Source organism: Homo sapiens, chromosome 10 (genome assembly GCF_000001405.40).
Source record: "Homo sapiens chromosome 10, GRCh38.p14 Primary Assembly".
NCBI classification, from domain to species: Eukaryota; Metazoa; Chordata; class Mammalia; order Primates; family Hominidae; genus Homo; species Homo sapiens.
The window spans coordinates 92,833,190-92,856,245 of NC_000010.11; the positions used below are offsets into that span (position 1 = coordinate 92,833,190).

Below are 23,056 nucleotides of genomic sequence, written 5' to 3' on the forward strand. Positions count from 1 at the left end.
TAGTATTGCTCTTGTGTCTGTGGTTCAGTTGGGGCTTGGCTCATCAGAGTGGATTTGAATAGGCAGTTCTGTTTCAGGCTGCTGCAGCTAGATGAAAATATATACTTTCCCCTGAAGGTCTGTGGACCAGTGGGGATGACTCTATCTCATGTAGCTCTCAGGGAATGCTTTTCTTAGGTGATGGCAGAGGTGCAAGAGGACAAACAGAAAAATGCCTTAGAGGCTTTAGAAAGTCCAGGCTCAGAACTCACATGCTGTTATTTTAGCTTATGTATATCACTGGCCAGCAGAAGTCACATGGCTGAGCCCAAAGTCATGGGACGACAAATACTGTGCCCACAGTGAAGTACTGGCAAGGGTGTGGATGCAGGCAGGGGTGACAAACTGATGCAATCTATGACAAATGCCATAGATTGTAGTTATAGCATGCTTTGAATACTACATTTTTAAGAGAACAAACGTCAATTTTTGGTCAGAGCTTTTAAAAAAGTCTGATAAAAACAAAAAAAAATAAAAAGCTTCTTATGGAAGAATGTCACTACTCATTCCTTTAAATATTGTATTTCTTGTATTAAGCAAGAAAGCTGAGGCTAAACTGAATTGAAGAAGATCGAATGCAAGTGGTAATGGGAAATACATGCCCGTTAGTTCTTTAGGCCTACTTGGGGCTGGTTGTAGGGCACATTTTCCTTTGCTGTTTTGGGCCTCTAGTTCATGCACTCTTTCTTCCTCTCGGTGGCAGCTAGCCTTCTTAAAACCCTGACATCTTCATTCTCTTTCTTCCTCTCCATCAAAACCTATTCTGCAGAAGGGATCTAGCAAACTCATTCACAGTGAGGCATAAGGAACTGAAAAGGAGTAAGATCTAAATGCCTCCAGAAGCATTTGTATTTGAACAAGAGATAAAAGAACTAATGGCTCTATCTCTAATGGAGGAAATTGACACAGCAAAGTAGAGAAGCAAAGGAGATAGACAGGGCACCAAGGAATTAGCCTAGTGACCTCAAAATCACATCCCATAGCACATTTCATTTTTCCTGGGCAAATTACCTCCTTGGGTTTGTGGGCAAGCCCTTGCCCACAAATACAAATGCTTCTGGAAGCATAGTTGCGGTAATAACTAGGAATGTAGCTTTAGTTATGTATTTAGCATAAATAATATTAATATATATGCCTTGTCAAATCAAATGCATTTAATAAATTTGTATAGTGTAATGACTGTAATTCCTACATATAGTTATTGTCTTTGAGAAACGAGTGAATAAATATAGCTGGCACTAGGCAGGAACTTTCCGAACTGTGTCAAGGTTAATAGTAAGTAAAATGTTATAAGTGGAAACAGGACAGCAACAGCTGTGCAACATTCTTGGAAGCAAAGACTTTTATAGCATGAAGTCAGACAGTGAGCTTGTTTTTGTTGCTCCTTTGGGTGAACAGAGAATCCTTCTAATAATTATAAGGAAAACGGTATTTTTTTTTTTATAAATTACAACAGTTTTTCACTCAATATCTGACATCTGCAGCTGGAAAATTAGGGGCCTGTCGAGCGATGTTGGAAGAAGAAACAGATCAAACCTATGAGAATGTCCTGGCTGAGATTCAGTCTTTCGAACTGCCTGTTGAAGCTACTTTAAGGTAGGGCACCGTTGCATTTTATTGTGTCTTCTTTAGCGGTGATAAGGTGGTCCTTTACCCTGCTTTTTATAATTCTTTATAAGAGTAAAAAATATTCTTGCAAAACAGTTACAGTTCTGTATATACTTAATCTCAAAGTTTTCTTATCCTTAGAGAGATTACAGGACATAATTAATCCATTTTATTTTGCATGTTTCCTAACTCATCACCATAAGATTAAAAACTATGACTTTCAAATGATCAAAAAGGACCTCAATCACCTCCAAATAAATTTATATGAGGTTTCAATTGTTTTCTTTAACATATCACTTAGTGAAAAACATTCAGAACAATTAGACATATCAATGAAGCCAATTTACATTTGGGTGGATATGAGTCATAGGAAAAAATGTAGACCATTTATTTGTATTGTAGCTGCTTTCTTGAGTGTATGGTGACCATTCAGATATGTATTATTTTGTTTCCATATAAGGTTTATTTATTTTTTCTTTTTTAACATTTTCTTGAATACCAATATATAAGGTTTAAAAATAGCTTCTTTGGTAATGTGGGTATTAATTTTCACAGTTCAAGAACAGGATTAAAATGAAAAACTATGTGTCATTGTGTTCAAAGGGCAGCTTTTAAAATTTAATTCTCTATGTCTGCCTGTCTCTGACACCTATCAGTGTGGGAACAAGATATTCATCACTGAATTTGATAGTGACAGTCAATAAATATTTGTTGACTAATATTTGTAGATTAAGTGGAAGGATATGTGTGTGTGTGTATCTGTGTGTGTGTGTGTGTGACCTCTTCATTCTCAGAAAGACCCCAGGGCCAAGAGCTTCTAAATCCACTAAAGTTTAAACCTGAATAAATTTCTCCCAGCTATTTAAATCTTATTTTGCATTAAACATAGTTTGAATATCTTCAAAGGTCTTAGGGTAGTGTTAGGGACATGGTAAACAATTGAGATTTGTTGGTTGATTCTTGGATTATCAATATGTAGGTATAGTTGCAAAATAATTACAACTCCATTATAACTATTACATATACCTTTGTCTTATCTGAGCATCATAAATATTCTGCGAAAAAGAGCTGGTAATTTTCAATAGCAGAAATCAGAGCTTTGTAGCAATGGAAAACTCAACAATTTTTTTCCATATGGGGCATACTTTAAATTGTACCATTGCCTTCTAAAACTTGTGCATCCACCTAGTGGCTAGGTAGGTGGTCAAGTGCCAGGTGCTAGGTAGTTAAGTGCTAGATGCTAGGTGGCTAAGTCTAAGTGGAAACAAGAGAAAGGGTGAAGGGAGCCTAGATGTGTTTTAGGCCATGGCCTCTGCTCCCATTGCTGCTTCAGAGCCCTTGGCCTTCAACTTGTAACCCTTTCTACCTCTCCCCGGTCTCACAACACTGGCCAACATCTACAGACTTTGTCTGTCCTTAGAACTAACCTGTCGGCTAGTCTGTCTCTGGTGTTGGACTTGACTTCCTTTCTTGGTGCTTGGATCTTTTTTACCTTCTCTTCTTAGGAAAAATATCCCTGGTACCAATCTTGTACCTTGTCTTTCTACAGCAAAAAATCATTTAGATTTGGCAGCCACAGCACTCTCTCAGCATCACCCTCAAGGGCAGAGCCTGCATAGATATGTTCCCCGGGTGCTACCCTGTCACGACCATGCAGTGGGCCTAAAATGCCAATTGTTAGGTTAATGTTTGGGTATAAAAAAGGGTGAGAACACTCCTTTCCAAAGGCTACTGTTAAAACACACTGATGTTATTTTGGGGGGTAGAGTGAAGTTGCAACCCCCTAACAAGCCTTTATCTGGGACAGTATTCAACAAAAAGCTTTCCTAATTTTCTAAACTGTTCATCTAATAAGTTGATTAGATGAAGATTTCTTAGATTGGCATTTGATGCCTTTCCATACATATGTACGTGTGTCGCTGATTTTCTACTGTAACTGTGCTTAAGGAACACATCAGCTCATGTGGCCAAATACGAGGGTTGAAAAATAATGACAGGACTCTCATTTCAGTCAAACTAGACTCTGCTATTTGACAATATGCCTCCTGGAGCTTAGGGTTCCTTTCCCCTATTATTCGCTCTTCTTTCTGCCTGCTAAAACCCAATGTATCTTGCAAGGCATAGCTCTAATGCTCTTTCTAGTGCTACTTACCTAGCTGCTAGGTGCTAGGCCTTGTGGAAACTCTATAAAGGTTACTAAGATATAAGTAAGACACAGGCCCTGCCCTCAGGAATCTTTAGCCTGAAATGGTTATAACATAACACACACACACACACACACACACACACACACACACACAAGCCAGAACAAATGCTCTGAATTCTTTGAAGCCTCTCCTATCTAGATGTGAATATTCCATTGTGAATCCCCATCTAGATGTGAATATTCAGTTGTGGAAGCCCCTAAGAATGTGATTCATACGAGCTCATGGGCTAATGGTGACGAAAATACTTACCTTTCTAATAAAAGTGAAAAGAGGCAGTCCAGCAAGAATGTCATCATTTCAGCAAAGAAGAGAAGGAGGAGGAAGTATTTTAAAACGTCAAGCTCTGGCTACATGCAGTGGCTCATGCCTGTAATCCTAGCACTTTGGGAGGCTGAGGTGGGAGATCGCTTGAGGCCAGTTGAAGACCAGCTGAAGCAACATAGTGAGACCCTGTCCCTATAAAACACTTTTTAAAATTAGTTGGTGGCTTGTGCCTGTAGTCTCAGCTACTCGGGAGGCCAAAGGGGGAGGCTCACTTGAGCCCAGGAAGTCAAGACTGCGGCGAGCTGTGATCATGCCACTGCACCCCAGCCTGAGTGACAAGAGTAAGACCCTGTCTCCAAACACAAACCAAAACCAAAACCAAAAGAAAACTATAAGCTATAAGGGTTGAGAGGGTGGAAAAGGAGTTTGGCTGGAGGCAGCTGAAGGCCCTGCCTTGAGGCCCCGGAATGAACAGTGAGAGAAAGGTTAGGATACTGGGACTGGAAATGCAAGAGAGAAACATTCCCAGGGAAAAGCTTACACCTGGGAATTGAGGTAGAGAGAATACTGAAGCGTTTACCTACGTGTTTTTCCCTGTCACAGAAAAAAGGCATTGCTTTGGCAAATATTTTCTGCTGTAAAATCCTGAACTCTGTTAGCTTCCTTTCCCTGCCCACCTTGTTTTGCAGGTAGGCAACCTGAGGTGGCCTATTTGAGGTCAGAGTTCATATCTGGGCCAGGTGGAGTTTGCTCCCCTAAAAAGGTGAGCTCAGAGAGCTCAGTGACTCAGGACTCAAGAGATGGTTTCTACCAGTGTAATTCAAGGGTAACTGAACGGCACTTCTTTTGCAGAGCATTCAAACCTTCCCGCATACTCATTCCCACACATCATCTGGGAAAACAAGTCTCCTCTGTCTCAGACGTCATGAGTGGGTTGTGGCGACCAAGAGTCATTGTCAATGGCCTATAATGCCTTTCACCCCACCAGGCTGTGTTCTTCCCACCTCCTGACTTTATACATGGCTACTCCCAGGACAAGCTTCTTCCAGATGGTCCAGCTCGTTTCCTGCCTGACTTTCCCAATGAGCCCTTGTGTTGGCTCCTTTGGCCCTCTTTTTGAAAGAGTGGACAAGAATCAGATGATTCTGAGGTCTTGCATTTGTTTTCATTTTGTGTGTGAAATGGTGTTTAAGGCCCATAGCATTAAGTTTGAAGGAAAGATAGTTTCAGGAGAGAGCTGAGACTCTATACTTTTCCCAAGGTTTATTTGCATTGCCAATGAAACATCCATTAAAGCCATCTCAGCCAACTATAGAGTTTGAATTGGGGAAGAAAATACCACGGTGGAAAAGTAGAATTTGATGTTAGCCATGCAGATGGCGACTGAACTTAAGAAAAAAGGGAGAAATGTAAAGGAAGGCCTACTGTCAGTGCCTGTGTTGTCCCAGCATGGTTTAGCTTTGGCCATTCAAAATCCCCTACCTAGGCCAGGCACGGTGGCTCACACCTGTAATCCCAGCACTTTGGGAGGCTAAGGCCAGCTCACTTGAGGTCAAGAGTTCAAGACCAGCCTGACCAACATGGCAAAACCTCATCTCTACTGAAAAATACAAAAATTAGCCAGTCGTAGTGGTGCACGTCTGTAGTCCCAGCTACTTGGGAGGCTGAAGCGGGAGAATCACTTGAACCTGGGAGGCGGAGGTTGCTGTAAGCCGAGATCGGGCCACTGCACTCTGGCCCGGGCGACAGAGTGAGACTCCTCTAAAAAAAAAAAAAATCCCCTAGCTTGCAGAATATTGGTAGGCTGAAACTTACGGGCAGGTAAAGTCTGCAACTAGTTTTGCTGCCCTAATCTTTTTGCCCTGGGCATCATTGTTTTCATTGCTTGCAACCACAGGCTAATTTCCACTGGATGTTCTCATTCTGTTTAGGTTTCCTGATTTTCACTGTAGCCTCTCCATCTGGTGTAGATGTGCCTGGCTCCTTGCCAGCTCCTTCCGCTAGGGGGCGTGACTGTCCCTGGGAGACTTAATGGCTGTCCGGGGCCATGTTCGAGGAAACAACATTAGTCCCTGTTTTACTCAGTATTATCAAATTCCTTGCACAAGGATGGTCAATAGGTTTCAAGTAGCATATCGATTCAATGCATTGGGAATGGTTGCCTGAATCTTCATATTGAGGATGATCCTGATAAATTAGTGACGGTAGTATGGTCCTAGGATAGGGTAGTAGCAGTGTTCATAACATTTATTTACCATATTCACACTAGAACTTCCTGCTGTCAGGCATCACCCATCAGACCTGCTCCCCTGGATACTGACTCAGACCTGGATGTAGCCTGGGGCTCGTGATGCCCCTTGGGGTCCTGCAGGTGTGTTGTTAGCCCCTTAGAACAGGTCCTGAGGTCACAATGTCTGAACCGACTTGGGTTCAGAAGTCACAGCATGTTTTGTGGCTGTAGCTGAGCCTGAGATGATAAAATCATGGACACATTGTAGGGTACTGCAAAGTTAGTGGGAGGTAGAAAGGTGGGGGGCTGTGGGGCGGGGGTGGATGTCTAAAGAAGGCCCTGCAGAGGGCTGGGAAAAATAGGAGGAAAAGGGAATTGTACAAGATGACGTACCAGAAGAAATTTTTGTAATTGTTTTATGATAACATAATTGTTTTACACTTGTATTCACAGACTCTCTCAGGCACTTTTCCAAAAGCTGACCATGAAGTTTTATCAGTTTAAGAGCAAACAGGATATCATATTTCTTTGACTTTAATGTTTTTAGGAATAAAGATAACGTGCTTTTAGGAAAGGAAAGAAAACATTAAAAAAAAAAACCCTAAACTGTATATACTATAAAATCTTAGAATGACATACTAAAACAAAAAATAAGTAGTTAAATTTAACTGTGGATGTTCTAGAATGTTCTTGCTATTTATATCTTTATAAATGTAAGATTTGTATTAAATCTTATTTTATCAAGTATATTCATTAAGATCAAAGGTCTAGATTTTAATCTGGACTGAACATTTACTACTTGTATGATTTTGGCCTTAGTTTCTGAAACTATAAAGTGGGGATTATGATAAAACCTATCTCAAATAATTAGTGTCTATAGGGTGCTTAGCATAATAGTTGGCTGGCACAGAGTAAATAATAAATATTAGTGTTGACTATTATTGTCTAGTTTCCATTTGGGATGGATATTCTAGTATGACTTAATAAATACATACTTTAGAGTCCTGAAGTAAACAATCATGCATAACACCTTGAAATTCTGAGCAGGTGTGAAATATTGAGTTATGTAAATTTTTTAAAACTTTTTTTAATTTGACAAATAATAATCGCATATATTTAGAGTGTAGAACTTTTTTTTTTTTTTGAGACAGGGTCTGTCTCTTGTCAGTCAGGCTTGAATACAGTGGCACAGTCTTGGCTCAAGTGGCCTCTTGGGCTCAAGCAATCCACCCATCTCAGCCTCTTGAGTAGCTGGAACCACAGGTGTGTGCCACCATGCCTGGCTAGTTTTTGTATTTTTTGTAGAGACGAGGTTTCGCCATGTTGTCCAGGCTGGTCTTGAACTTCTGAACTCCAGAAATCCGCCTGCCTTGGCCTCCCAAAGTGCTGGGATTACAGGTGTGTGCCACCATACCCAGCCTATTTATAGGGTATAACGTGACGTTTCACTGTCTGTTTACAGTGTAGAATGATTAAATCAAGCTAATTATTATATCTATCACCTTACATACTTTTTGTGGTGAGAACACTTAAAATCTACTTTGAGCAATTTTGAAATACGCAGTATATTATTATTATTAATTATAGCCACCATTCTGTGCAGTAGATCACCAAAGCTTATTTCTCCCGTCCAGCTGAAACTTTGATTAACATCTTTGATTAACATCTTTCCTTTTCCCATCTATGTCTCTCCTCAGCCTCTGGTAACTACCATTCAACTCTCGACTTCTCTGAGTTCAACTTTTTTAGATTCTACATATAAGTGAGATCATGCAGTATTTGCATTTCTGTGCCTGGCTTACAGTAATGTAAATTTTATTTTGGTTGCATTATATGCAGGGGAGAGAGGTGTCAATTTGAAAAATCACATTCACTAATGCTTATATTTTATACTAATGCAATATCATGACCTGATTTAATCTCTAATGAGAATAGTATAGCGTTCTACATAAAAATGGAGTCCAGAGAAATTGTTCAGAAATAAATTTGGGCCTAACTGTGACAGAGGCTTGCTGCATCTGTTGCACCTCCAAAAAGCCTGGAATGTCTTATGAGACTCGGCTATACAGTTACCCAATTTTTGCTGGACATTTAAGTGATATCATTAGCTATGTGATGTTTATTGCAACACTAGATAAAACTTTAAAAACATTTTTATGTTTAGGAGCCAAATATTCCAACCAGGGGGACAGTTTTGCTTATTTAGTGGTTAAGTGAATGGGTTTTGGAACCAGAAGGATATGGGTTCAAATTCTGCCTTTATAATTACTAATAGAGCTGTTGAAAGGATTAGTTGAATTAGGCATGAAATGTATTAATGAAATGTAATGTCTCATAGCAAATGCTCATTCACTCATTCATTTAGTAAATAAATAATAATGGCACATTTACAATGTGACAGGCAGTGGTCTGGGTGCCGTTGATACAGCAAGATCAAGATCTGGAAAGTCCATGCTCACAGGGAGCTTGTATTTTAGTGAAAAGAGCCAGAAATACACCAAAAAAAAAAGTGTTAATAAGTGCTATGAAGAATAAAAACCAGGCCGGGTGCAGTGGCTCACGCCTGGAATCCCACCACTTTGGGAGGCCGAGGCAGGCAGATCATGAGGTTAGGAGTTCGAGACCAGCCTGGCCAACATGGTGAAACCCTGTCTCTACTAAAAATACAAAAATTAGCCGAGTGTGGTGGTGCACGCCTGTAATCCTAGCTACTCAGGAGGCTGAGGCAGGAGAATTGCTTGAACCCGCGAGGTGGAGGTTGCAGTGAGCTGAGATCACACCATTGCACTCCAGCCTGGGCAACAGAGCGAGACTCTGTCTCAGAAAAAAAAAAAAAAAAAAGGGTAAGGAATAGGAAGATTTAGGGATGCTAATATCCCTAGCCAGGGAGTAAATGTCAGCTGTCATCATCATCATCATCATCATCATCATCATCATTTCATTAGCTACATTTCAAATCCTATTTTGCCAAGAGGAGAGAGAAAAATCGGACAAGGGAGAGGAAAGGGAGAAAGGGCAAAGGGCAGTAAAGGAAGGCTAAGCAGGGAAAGAGAGAGGAATAGAGAGTGCATTGAACAGGATGACGAATAAGAAAACCAACAAGGAGAAGGAAGGTAAGAGTAGGGAGCAGGGACAATTGCTTGTCTTATAAACTGGTGGTGGTGGTGGAGTTGGTGGGGTGGGGGGTGTGTTATTTGAAGGAAAGAGAGAATGGAACTCAGAGAAAATGATATTGTTCTTTAACTGCTCAGTGGACTTTAAAATGTTTAGTTTTGAGGGCTTTCAGGACATTTTTCTGAGGGCAGGGTTGGCAACATAATTTGTGGGGCCCAGGGCAAAATGAAAATGTAGATTCCTTTTTCAAAAATTATTAAGAATTACAAGATGGTGATGACAGGGTATTGAACCAAAGGCAACTGCGTAGGTCACACACCATGAGCCAGCCCTGTCTGAGAGCTTAATACATGAACATGGTACACAGCAAACATTTAATAAAAATAGTTGTTGAATGAACAAAACCCGGGGCTAGTTGCTTTTGAACTCCTCTGAGGACTGGCCCGTATTTTAGAAAAAAACTGATTTTATTTGGCTTCAATTTCAAATTTCCTTCTATTGTTCTCCACCGTGGGGTCCAGATCTTTATGGAACAGCCGATTCCTGCACAGGGTTTTACAGCAGGAATCCTCCCAGACCAGCTGGGCTTTGTTTATTCTCTTGCACTTACAGAGTGTGGCCACTTGGGGTCACCACACCAAAAAGGCAGAAGCTGGAGGAGGGCCCCTGCGACGGTGGACATCTGAAACGAGTGGCTAAAAGCCACTGGGAAGGATTAGTTTATCAGAGCCAATGTATAAAGACTGCCTGTACTTTACATTTTGATACAGTTCTATAATTCTATAACAAGAGCTCTAAAACTCTTTAAGAAACATTTGAATGATGTAAAGTTTTGCGAGGATAATGATAGGGTTCCCAGGGGTGAGGAGGGGAATCTTTTTGTAAATGTGTACCCTACCTCTAAAAGCATGCATTTGGCCGGGCGCGGTGGCTCACGCCTGTAATCCCAGCACTTTGGGAGGCCGAGGCGGCGGATCACAAGGTCAAGAGATCGAGACCATCCTGGCCAACATGGTGAAACTCCATCTCTAGTAAAATACAAAAAATTAGCTGAGTGGGCCGTCGCGGTGGCTCCCGCCTGTAATCCAAGCACTTCGGGAGCCCGAGGTGGGTGGATCACGATGTCAGGAGTTCAAGACCAGCCTGGCCAAGATGGTGAAACCCTGTCTCTACTAAAAATACAAAAATTAGCCGGGCGTGGTGGCTGGCACCTGTAATCCCAGTTACTCGGGAGAGAACTGCTTGAACCTTGGAGGTGGAGGCTGCAGTGAGCCGAGACTGCACCACCGCACTCCAGCCTGGGCGACAGAGCGAGACTCTGTCTCAAAAAAAAAAAAAAAAAAAAAAAAATTAGCTGGGCGTGGTGGCACGTGCCTGTAGTCCCAGCTACACAGAAGGCTGAGGCAGGGGAATCACTTGAACTTGGAGGGCGGAGGTTGCAGTGAGCCGAGATCGCGCCACTGCACTCCAGCCTGGTGACAGAGCAAGACTGTGTCTCAGAAAAAAAAAAAAAGGAAAAAAAAGAAAAACATGCCATTTACAACATTAAGCTTAATACGACAAGTATTTGCATGTGGATCATTCACTTATTAATTGAGCCTCTACTATATGCAAGGCACTGGGCTGGGCAGTGAACAATACAGGCATCGTCCCTGTGCCTGATGTAGGAGCAGTTCCTGGAAATGGAGACAGACTCAGTGATTTGTTCACCACCATGATATGTGCTTCCAAGGATGAGTGAGCACTGCTCCCAAGGACAACGAAAGGTGCTTGCCTTAAAAGCGCAGGATCCAGAGGGTTCACTAAAATGGGTCTGGAACCAAGAATCCAACCCAAAGACATGTTCCTGTTTCCCTCTCTACAAAAGCAGGAAACATATTTCAGTTGGTTTACATCCACCAAACATGCAGAAAACCCTGATACACAATCAGGTTTTTTTTTAATGATTAGGAAAAAGAACATTTATGTGTCTGGTTTTTATTTTTATTTTATCAAAGAGGAGGCTAAAATGCTGGGCTCTCTGGCTTACTAGCAAATGCCTGATAACCCTAGTCGCCAATGCTAATGTTGATTGAGCTCTAGGCTAAACATAATACATATATTATCTTCTTTAATCCTCACATAATTTGGTGAGCTAGGGATTCTTATTGTCCTTAATTCACACTTGAAGAACGTGAGCCTTAGTCAAGTTAAGTAACTCCCTGAGGCCTGACATCTAGTAAGAGATGAGTTGGAATTTGAATTCAAGTAGTTAAATGCCAGACCAGAGCAGTTGCACTCTACAACCTCATTCTGAGGGAGGCGCTTTCCCAAGACAGGTCATTAGTCTGTAGATAAAAGGCGCAAAGTTAAGTTCCTAATGACTAAGAGTTTATTTACAAGTCAAATCCTTACTTTGCCAATTACTTTTATACTGGACACAAAATGCATCTCCTGTCCTGCTGGTCTTCCTGGTGTATCTTTCTTCTTCCAGGAGTCCTGAAAAGAGATTTTGGATTGATCTCTGGAAGTCAATATCCACTGCCAAAAAATAATTCCACATGCATCTGCAATCTGCCTGTCTGTGCCCTGCTACTCCGCAACCTTCTCAGTGCAGACGTTAAATCATTCACTCCTTGGGGCTGGGCGTGGTGGCTCATGCCTGTAATCCCAGCACTTCAGAAGGCCAAGTCAGGGCAATCACTTTAGGGAAGGAGTGTGAGACCAGCCTGGCCAACATGGTGAAAGCCCATCTCTACTATAAATACAAAAATTAGCTGGATGTGGTGACATGTACCTGTAATCCCAGCTACTCAGGAGACTGAGGCAGGAGAATCGCTTGAAAGCGGGAGGCAGAGGTTGCAGTGAGCCAAGATCGCACCACTGCACTCCAGCCTGGGCAACAGAGAGAGACTCCATCTCAAAAAAAAAAAAAAAAAAAAATCATTTATCCCTTGGATAGGCTTCCCCCACCCCACATTGACATATTTGATATATCTATGTCCATGATTAAAATGTACAGTTAGGGCCGGGGACGGTGGCTCACGCCTGTAATCCCAACACTTTAGGAGGCCGAGGCGGGCAGATCACCTGAGGTCGGGAGTTTGAGACCAGCCTGACCAACATGGAGAAACCCAGTCTCTACTAAAAATACAAAATTAGCTGGGCGTGGTGGCACGTGCCTGTAATCCCAGCTACTCCGGAGGCTGAGGCAGGAGAATCACTTGAACCCAGGAGGCGGAGGTTGCAGTGAGCCAAGATCACGCCATTGTTACCCAGCCTGGGTAACAAAAGCGAAACTCTGTCTCGAAAAAACCAACCAAACAAACAAAACAAATGTGCAATTAGTTATTTAGGACATTTAGCTTTGAATTCTTAGCTAAAACCTCCAGGTACTCACGGAACTGTCAGAAGTCTCAGAGGGAACCAGCAAAAACTGTTTCAGAAGGAGAAGTGGTAAATGGACTTCCTTCCATGTTCACTTGAATTTCGGGGAAGATACTGCTGCTTATGTTGAAGTAATCTCTATGGGCAGGTGTTGAAACAGGGCTGGCCTGAGGAGTGCCTAAGCAGGGCTGGTTTCCCAGAGCAGGGGCACTTGGAGCCAGCTTTGGAATAAAAGGTATCAGGACTGGTGAAGAAAAGGGGTAGAGTTCTAGGGAAGGAATGATCAGGAAAGTAATTCCCCAGCTGGAGACATTGGTCAAATAGGAAACTGGCCTGTGCCACATGCCCTGCTCTCCTCATTTTGCTCATTATCATAGTTCACCGCAGCCTCGAACTCCTGGGCTCAAGCAATCCTCCTGCCTCAGCCTCCCAAAGCTCTGGGATTATAGGTGTGAGCCACTGTGCTCGACCTAAGAAGTTCTTGAGAGGGGAAAATAACCTTTTGAAAATTGAAACTGAAACATAAAAAAAAGAAGACAAATTTTATCCCCTCCCACAAAAAGAATGAAAAGCTAGGTCTCTCTGCAGGAAATGGAAGACTGTCTTAGCTCAATGGATGTGTATAGCTGGAATCCATTGCTCTGAAGATTCCAGATTAATAGGAAGGAGGGCATTAGCAATGTTTTATAGGGCCCTTCCTAAGTTTGGTAGGCAGTGGGTCCCACTGATGCTCACATTCTAATCCCTGGAACCTGTGCATATGTTATTTTTACATGACAAAGGGGGTATTGCATATGTGATTAAGGTTAAGGACCCTGAGATGGAAGATTATCCTGGATTAAATGGTTGGGTCCACTCTAATCATATGGGTCCTTAAAAACTGAGCATCTTTTCCAGCCTAAGTCAGAGTCAGAGGAAGATGTGACCACAGAAGAATGGTCAGAGAGATGTAATGCTGCTAGCTTTGAAGATGGAGGAAGGGGGCCACAAGCCAAGGTATGTGGGTGGCCTCTAGAAGCTGGAAAAGGCAAAGAAACAAATTCTCCCGCAGAGTCTCTAGCAAGGAACACAGACATGCTGACACCTTGATTTTTAGCCCAGTGAGACCTGTGACAGACTTCTAACGTACAGAACTGTAAGATAATATGTCTGAGTCATTTTAAGCTACTCAATTTGTGGTGATTTGTTAAAGCAACAATGGAAAACTCATACACCATGGGACAGCAATATGAGGCAGACACTGCCATTGTCATTTACAGTCATTTAACTGACATATAAAAGAACTAGGTTCTTGCCCAATGTCACACAGCTGTCAAGTGATATTAATCCAAGAATTAATGTCTTCGGACACTGGTCTTCAGAGCTCATGCTCTAACTATTGCACAATACCACCTCCCAGGATGTTTGTGGGGAGGAGGCTGGAGGTAGGTTTCAAGTAAAAGCTCACTAAGGGTGAGTGAGTTACACAGCTGGATAAAGAGCTTGGTTGACTCAAAGGGAAGCTTTTCAAAGCCCTGGATTAATGTAGAGCAGAAAGTAGTTGTTCCTCAGGCTAGGTTTCCATTCTGTTCCTGTTTAGTCTTCCTTCCTCCCTGCTTTGATCATGACAAACTGGTTTACTCAGTGTCCCACAAACATGTCATTAAGCACGACTTTTTTCTACACTGATACCTTTGTCCAAGCCTCCCTGCCTCTCTCTCCCACCTCCCTGCTGCTAACCCCCTTTCAAGAGCTCTCACCCCTTCTCAACCCAGCTACTCTGACCTGGGGGCACCTGAGTTCACGGACTTTGGTATGAATTACACATCGCCCTGGGCCTTTTTTTTTTTTTTTTTTTTTGGTATCTCTGCCATCAAGTGTCTTAACTTCTCATCATTTAATTTTTTATGTCGCTTATAATTTATTTCCAAGTTGACTGGCCGCTGTGGACTTCTTGCAGGCGGGGACATGAATCCACCTGGAGCGGTCTTCATGGTCAACTGGGATCTTTATTCGTTCCTAAAATAAATCTTACTATCACATGCAATTTTGCTTTTCGTGAGTGCATGTTTTCCTTTCTCTGACTCCCCACGACCCAGAGTACATCAGGCCCTTGTTAAATGTCCCCGTGGCTCTTATTACAGATTCAGGGTGATGATCTGAGTGTCCACCTTGCTGATTACTACGGTACCCCCGCGTGTGGCACAGGGTGTGGCACACACAGAAGACAAGGAGATATGTTAAAGCCCAAAGGCCAGGCACAAGACGCCCAGGAGGGACTAGTCGCGAGAGAGGGCAGGAGGCCAGCTGGGTACCCGGCCGCCGCCCGTAGCCCCAGCTCACAGCCCCCGCTCACTCCTGCAGGTGCGGGGGCGGGAACCGGGTCGCGCGCCTTCTGCCCGGCGTTCCGCGCGCCCCCGCGCCGCCGGCCCGAGCGCCCCGCCCCCGCCCCGCCCCTTCGCGCTCGCGCCACTTGGAGCTCGCCCCCGTCGTTCCCGCGGCGCCGCGCCTCGCTGGCTCCTCAGCTTCCAGCCAAAATGGCGGAGAACAGCGAGAGTCTGGGCACCGTCCCCGAGCACGAGCGGATCTTGCAGGAGATCGAGAGCACCGACACCGCCTGTGTGGGGCCCACCCTCCGGTAAAGATCTCATCCCACCGGGACTTCGGCCCCCCGCCCCACGCCGGCCGCTCCTCACGAGCCGGGCGGGGCGTCCGCCGCCGGCCGCGCGCGAAGCTCCCCGACAGGTGGTGCGCGCGGGGGCGGGCGGGGGCGCTCGCGGGTGGCGGAACTCTAGCCGGTACCCGGGCGGGACCGAGAAGGCGGCTGCACCTGTCGGCGCGGCCTGCCTCCACCGCTGTAGCTGTCACCCCGCAGCCGGTGGGTGTGGCTGCTGCAGGGTCTCTAACCCCGGGCCCCGCGCTGCGGCCCCGCGTTCTCCTCCTGGCTGCGGCCCCCGGGCCCGAGGACACTTCTGGGGCCTGCCCCCGTCTCGCTCGTGGTGGGGCTGAGGGCTGCTCGGCCGCGGGCATGCCAGGCTAGGGTCGACAGCAGGCACCCGGCGTGACGGAGGTGCCAGGTCGCGCGCGGGTGGAAAGCCTGGCGCGCCGGGCTGCCGCGGGCGTGGGAGAATTGAAATTGAGCGGGAGACGCCGGCCCGCTTTCCCCCTACTCCCCCGCGCGGCCGCAGTGGGCGAGAAGAGAGCGTGGGCTGGAGAAGAGAGCGTGGGCTGGAGGAGAGCAGCTGCTTGCTGCTTGGGAACACGCTAGGGTGACCCTGCGCTCGCGGGATCTAAGCTGCTTTGGAGGCAGAACAGCTTTTACTTATTTACAAACATTTCATTAAAATTGCATTAATTTTTCCGTTTAAATCGAGTTCCTCCCCATTCATTTTAAGAATAGTACTAGGTAATGCATATTCCATGCCAAACTGAGTACCTGCTGTTCCAATAGAATATTATTAGCCAGGCAACGTAATGAGCCATGGGTTAGGTTAGGCACTGTCTTCAAGAATAAGTTCCTTTTACATATAAGGTTTCATCTTTTGGAGTGATAATAATGATAAATGAAGTTATTATTCACTTAGGGAACTTGAGACTGATTATGCTTTATCATTAGTATTCTTCAGAATACACTTCCTAGAATAGAGCGCTGTACAGTTTGTGGACCTGTGAATATAGTGTAAATTGAAGCCAGTTCAAGTTATGTAAATACACCTTGCCCTTAAGAGTCAGGAGGCCTGGGTTCTTGTTTTGCCCTAATTCTGCCTCTGATGAAATGTGCAGTCATGGAAAAAAATTATTTAACCTCTCTGGATCTCGGTTTCCTTATTTGTAGAATGGGGAGGGGAGAGTATTCAGATGCCCAGGAAACTCAGAACATTAGGGACCTTGCCTATTTGTTCACTACTGTATCCCTAACACCAAGCATGTGGTAGGCATGTTATAAATTTTTGTCACATAAGGTTTCTGCTATGATATGATAATGCATAATTAGTGCATTTCCTTAATTTTCCAACATTATTATTTCTTTTAATAAACTGTATACTTGGTAATGAAAGAAGTAAGATTAAAAGGAAGCTTTGTTTTCATCACTGCATCTTGAAACTGAGAGTGCAGTGTGTGATAAAGTTACTAGAGTAGTTTATTTGTGAAAATAGTACTGGTTATGAAGGAGGTGCTTCATCTTAGGAAAATGTGCTAGGTAGTGTCCTTGAAAAAAGATGAAATTAACTTAGAAGAAAAATTTGAAATATATTGAGAGATTTTTGGGACACTCAGGAACAGAATATGTGTATTCATAGTGTTATTCTGTTCTTTTTTGCTGGGCAGTTGTTTCAACTGGCTCATTTTGTTTGAACCCACTCTCTTTTCTTTAGCAATCCCTGGTGACTCATACTTATCCCATATATATGTATATTTGTGTCTCATTTATAAGCAGACGCTTTTTGCACACATATAGAGGGTACTGCTAGCAGTCTTTTCTCTTGAACATTGTTTAAGCTACTACTATTTTTTCCCTTTTTTTTCAGGTTTCACGAAGTGAAGTGTTAATATTGCATTTTTAAAAACCATTTATTATGGAAAAATTTTAAATGTTTAAAAAAGTAAAATAGTGTAATGAACCACCATGAACTGTCATCTAGCTTCAATTCATTCCCTGGCCAGTCTTGTTTGATCTCTTCCCTTATCTACTCCCTATCATCTTGGATTATTTTGAAGGAAATCCAAGACATCAATTTATTCATAAATATTTTAGTATTAAGATTAATTTTTGTTGTTATTTCCTAATTATCTTTTAGCTGGCCTGTAGACTTATCATTTTATTTATATTGTTTTTTCTCAGCGGCGGGATTTTTCAGCCTGATCTTTTCCTGAGAAGCACGTGATAAACTTTCCGCAGGCCCTGACATATAACATGGTTCTTTGACCACAACAGAAGTATATTAGAAATCAGTAGTTAAAAAAAACAAAAAAACAAAAACTATCTGGAAAATTCCCAAATATTTGGTCATTGACTAACACACAAAAAATAAATCAAAAGAGAAATTAGAAAGTATTTTAAACTGAGTAAAATGAAAACACAGCATATCATTTGTGAATGCAGCTAAAGAAATAGTTAGAAGTTTATGGCACCAAACACCTCTACTAGAAAAGAATGGCTTCAGCTCCTAGCCTAAGAAACTAGGAAAAGAGGAGCAAATGAAATTCAGAAGAGTGGAAGAAAGGAGATGGTAAAGATCAGAGTGGTATTCAGTGAGACAGAAATACAGAAAGTCAGTGAAACTCAAAACTGGTTCTTTGAGGAGACTGTAAAATTGATAAACCTTTAGGGGTAGAAAAGGAGACGATACAAATTAAAAATAACAGGGCCAGGCGCGGTGGCTCACGCCTGTAATCCTAGCACTTTGGGAGGCCGAGGCAGGCAGATCACTTGAGGTCAGGAGTTTGAGACCAGCCTGGCCAACATGGTGAAACCCCGTCCCTACTAAAAATACAAAAAAATATTAGCTGGGTGTGGTAGCACACGCTTGTAATCCCAGCTGCTCGAGAGGCTGAGGCAGGAGAATCGCTTGAATCCGGGAGGCGGAGGTTGCAGTGAGCCGAGATTATGCCACTACTCTCTAGCCTGAGCGACGGAGCGAGACTCCATCTTAAAAAAACAAAAACAAAAACAAACAAAAAAAAAACAAAACCAACCAACTAACCAAACAAACAAAAAAACGGGAGTGAGAGAGGTTACGTGACTATAGATTCTACAGACATTAAAAAAAGGTTAAGAAATATTATGAATAGGCTGAGTGCAGTGGCTCATGCCTGTAATCCCAGCACTTTGGGAGGCTGAAGCAGGAGGATTGCTTGAGCTCAGGCATACAAGACCAGCCTGGGTAACATAATGAGACCTTGTCTCTACAAATACAAAAATTAGCTAAGTGTGGTGGTGTGTGCCTGTGGTCCCAGCTACTCGGGAGGCTAACGTGGGAGAATGGCTCAGAGTCTGGGTCGTTAAGGCTGTAGAGAGCTGAGATTGTGCCACTGCACTCCAGCCTAGGCAACAGAGTGAGACCCCCATCTCAAAAAATGTATATATATTATGAACAACTTCATGCTCATACATTTGGCAACTTAGCAGAAATGGACAAATTAGTTGAAAGATACAAAGTATTATCAAAGTTCACTTAAGAAGAAATAGCTGAATAGCCCTGTATCAATTAAAGAAAGGGAATTTTGCTGTTATAAGCCTTCCCCAAAAGGAAACTCTAGGCCCAGATAGTTTTACTGGTGGATTCTACATCTTTAAGGAAGAATTAATGCCAATTCTACAAAGACTTTTCTGGAAAATTGAAGAGGAGGGAATATTTCCCAGCTCATTTTGAGGTCAACATTAACCTGATACCAGAACTAAAGAAAGAAAGACATAACTAGAAAAGGAAACTAAATCAGTATTCCTCATACACACAGATTTTACAAAAAATTTTAGAGAATTAAATCCATATATGTGGATTTAAAAGTATAAAATACATCTATATAAAAAGTATATTCTGTATATGTATATATGTGTGTGTATATATATGTGAAGAATACATCATGATCAAGTGAGGTTTATTTCAAGAAAGATGCTGGCTTAACATTTGAAAAATCAATGTAACATTGTTCACCATATTAAACAAAGAAAAGTTGTATGATCATATATGTGGAGAAAGCATTGACAAAATCGAATATTAATTCCTGATTTTAAAAACCCTCAGAAACTAGTAATGGAAATTCCTCAGCTTAAAACAGGGCATCTATGAAAATCTAGAGCTAAATTGTGCTTAGTGGTAAGAGTCTGAATGCTTTTCCTCTAAAATCAGGAATGAGGTAAGGATATTCATTCTCACCACTTCTATTCAACACTGTACTAGAATGTTGAATATAAGGCCGGTATAATAAGACCATTTAAAAAAAAAGCATCTAGTTTGGAAAACCGTCTTTATTTGCACACTGTGTGATCAACTATTATAGAAAATCCTGTGGAATGTACAGAAAAGCTACTAGAACTGATAAGTGAGTTTAGCAAGGTTGTAGGAATCAGGTGGATATGCAAAAGCCAATTGTGTTTCTCTGTACTAGCAACAATCAGAAATTGAAATTTAAAATTTGATGGTATCAAAAATATGAAATACTCAGGGATAAATCTGACTAAAGATGTGGAAGACTTGTATGTGAAAAATACAAAACATTGCTGATATAAATTAAATTAACATTGCTGATACTAAACTAAGTAAGTGGACACATACTGTTTTCATGGATTGGAAGACAGTATTGTTAAGATGTCAGTTTTCTCCAACTTAGTCTAGATATTCAAGATAATCTGAATAAATCCCAGCAGAATGAAAATTTATAGAAATTGACAAGCTGATTCTAAATTTCATGTAGAAATGTAAAGGACCTAGATTAGCCAAACTAACTTGGTAAAAGATGAACAGAATTGGAGGACCCATAGACCTGATTTTAAGATTTACTATAAAGCTACAGAAATTAAGACTGTGGTACTAGCATCAAGATAAACAAATAGATCAGTGAAACTTAATAGAAACCACATAAATAGATTAACACAGTCAATTGATTTTCAACAAAGATGAAAAGGCAATTCAGTAGAAAGAGATAGTCTTTTTTAGTAATGGTGGTGGAAAAATTGGATATCCTTACATAAAATAATGAACTTTGATCCATGCTTTGCACCATATTTAGAAATTAACTCAAAATGAACCCAAGACCTAAATGTAAAATGCAAAACTATAAGACTACTAGAAAACATAGGAGGAAATCTTTGTGACTTTAGGATAGGCCAAGATGTCTTAGATACTGTTTGCAAAAGCATAATACATAAGAGAAAAAAATTGATAAATTGGACTTTATTTATTGGACCAGAATTGAGAATATCTAGTCCTTGAAGAAGCTATTGAGGTTGCAGTGAGCCGTGATCATGCCTCTGCACTCCAGTCTGGGCAACAGAGTGAGTCCCTGTCTCAAAAAAAAAAAAAAAAAGGAAAGAAAGAAAAGGTGAGCCACAGATTGGGAGAAGATATTGGCAAATTGCATATCCAATAAATAAATTCTGTCTAGAATGTATAAAGGAAGTGTTTGAGACTGAATAATAATAAAACAACTAAAAAAATGAGGCTGGGTGTAGTGGCTCACACCTGTAATCCCAACACTTTGGGAGGCTGAGGCAGGTGGATCACAAGGTCAAGAGATTGAAACCATCCTGGCCAATGTGGTGAAACTCCGTCTCTACTAAAATACAAAAATTAGCTGGGCTTGGTAGCACACGCCTGTAGTCCCAGCTACTTGGGAGGCTGAGGCAGGGGAATCACTTGAACCTGGGAGGCGGAGGATGCATGAGCCGAGATTGTGCCAATGCACTCCAGCCTGGGCGACAGAATGAGACTCCATCTCAAAAAAAAAAAAAAGACTGACTATACCATGTATTGGTAAGGATGTAGAAGAACTGGCACTCTCATACACTGCTGTGGGAATTCCATAAATGCTGTTTATCAGGTTGAGGAGTTCTCTTAGTTTTCATTATGAAGGGGTGTTGAATTTTATCAGATGCTTTTTTCTGTATCTATTGAGGTGATCATGTGGTTTTGTCCCTTATTCTTTTGATATGGTATATTACATTATCAGATGTAAACCAACTTTGTATTCATGGGATAAATCCCATTTGATCATAGTGCATAAAGTATAATCCTTTTTATATGTTGTTGGATTCTGTTTGCTAGTATTTTGTTGAGGATTTTTGCATGTGTATTCATAAGATATTTTGATCTGTTTTTTGTGTGTGTGTGTGTGATGTCTTTGATATGAGAATGATACCTCATAGAATGAGTTGGTGCTCTCTCAATTGAGATGAGTATTTGGGTTTTTTCCCCCCTTTATTCTATTCATGTGGTACATTACATTGATTGATTTCCTCATGTTTAATTACCCTTGCATTCCTAGGATAAATCTCATTTGGCCATAGTGTATAATCCTCTTTAATATACTGTTGGATTTGGTTTGCTAGTATTTTATTGAGAATTTCTACATCTATATTCATGAGGGATTTCTGTAATTTTTTTAGAGACAAAATCTCACTGTGTTGCCCAGACTGATCTTGTACTTCTGGCCTCAAGCAGTCCTCCTACCTTAGCCTCCCGAGTAGCTGGAATTATAGGCATGAGCCACTGTGCCTGGCATGAAAATTTTTTTTTTTAATTTATGTTTGAGACAGGATCTTGCTACATTGCCCAGGCTGGTCTTGAACTCTGGAGCTCATGCAGTTCTCCCACCTCAGCCTCCTGAGTATCTGAAACTACAGGCATGTTCCACCATGCCCAGCTCTGTAATTTTCTTTTTTTGGTGATGTCTTTATCTGGCTTTGGTATCAGGGTAATGCTGGCCTTATAGAATGAGTTAGGAAGTGTTCGCTTCTCTTCCACATTTGGAAGAGCTTGTGAATGATTAATGTTAATTCTTTAAATATATGGTAAAATTTTCCAGTTAAGCCATGTGTATTTTCTTTGTTGGGAAGTTTTCGATTACTGATTCCATTTCATTACTTGTTAAAGGTATACTCAGATTTTCTAGTTTTCTTGAGTTAGTTTTGATAGTTTGTGTCTTTCTAGGAATTTGTTGTGTTTCATTTAGATTATTTTAGTTGTTGACATATAATTGCTCATAACTTTTTCTTATTTTTATTTCTGTAACATTCTCTCTTTTGTTCTTGAATTTAGTAATTTGAGTCTTTGTTTTTGCTTGGTCATTCTAGATAAAGGTTTGTCAATTTTGTTGATCTTTTCAAAGAACCAACTCTCTGTTTTATTGATTTTTTTCTCTATTGTTTTTGTTTTTTCTTTTTTTTGAGATGAAGTCTTGCTCTGTTGCCCAGGCTGGAGTGCAGTAGCGCGATCTTGGCTCACTGCAACCTCCGCCTCCTGGGTTCAAGCGATTCTCCTGTTTCAGCCTCTCGACTAGCTGGGATTACAGGCACATGCCACCATGCCTGGCTAATTTTTATATTTTTAGTAGAGATAGGGTTTGCCACGTTGGCCAGGCTGGTCTTGAACTCCTGACCTCAGGTGATCTGCCTGCCTTTGCCTCCAAAATTTCTGGGATTACAGGCATGAGCCACTGCACCTGGCCTCTCTATTGTTTTTCTGTTACATTTACATCTGATCTAATCTTTATTACTTTCTTTCTTCTGCTTGTTTTGGGTTGGGTTGCT

The 23,056-nt window shown here is 41.8% G+C and overlaps 1 protein-coding gene across 11 annotated transcripts in view, besides 2 other annotated features; it reads left to right on the forward strand.

Annotated features, from left to right (window-relative positions):
• EXOC6 (exocyst complex component 6) overlaps window positions 1-23,056 on the forward strand; it is a 232,660-nt gene that overhangs the window by 6,359 nt on the left and 203,245 nt on the right. For 5 of the 11 annotated variants that reach the window (NM_001013848.4, NM_001319194.2, XM_017016344.3 and 2 more), the window contains exon 2: window positions 1,524-1,635. In NM_001013848.4, coding sequence (NP_001013870.1) covers window positions 1,550-1,635 — 86 coding nt within the window. In that variant the 5' untranslated portion in view covers window positions 1,524-1,549. Of the gene's footprint in view, window positions 1-1,373; window positions 1,636-15,330; window positions 15,446-23,056 lie in introns of those variants that run through there. The other 6 variants (XM_024448047.2, NM_019053.6, NM_001319195.2 and 3 more) reach the window with 2 other exon arrangements.
• Window positions 15,148-15,297: a silencer, noted in NCBI's record as "silent region_2625". NCBI's record gives its function as "represses an Ori minimal core promoter by ATAC-STARR-seq in GM12878 lymphoblastoid cells {active_cell/tissue: GM12878}" and the evidence as "EXISTENCE:reporter gene assay evidence [ECO:0000049][PMID:35858748]".
• Window positions 15,438-15,777: a silencer, noted in NCBI's record as "silent region_2626". NCBI's record gives its function as "represses an Ori minimal core promoter by ATAC-STARR-seq in GM12878 lymphoblastoid cells {active_cell/tissue: GM12878}" and the evidence as "EXISTENCE:reporter gene assay evidence [ECO:0000049][PMID:35858748]".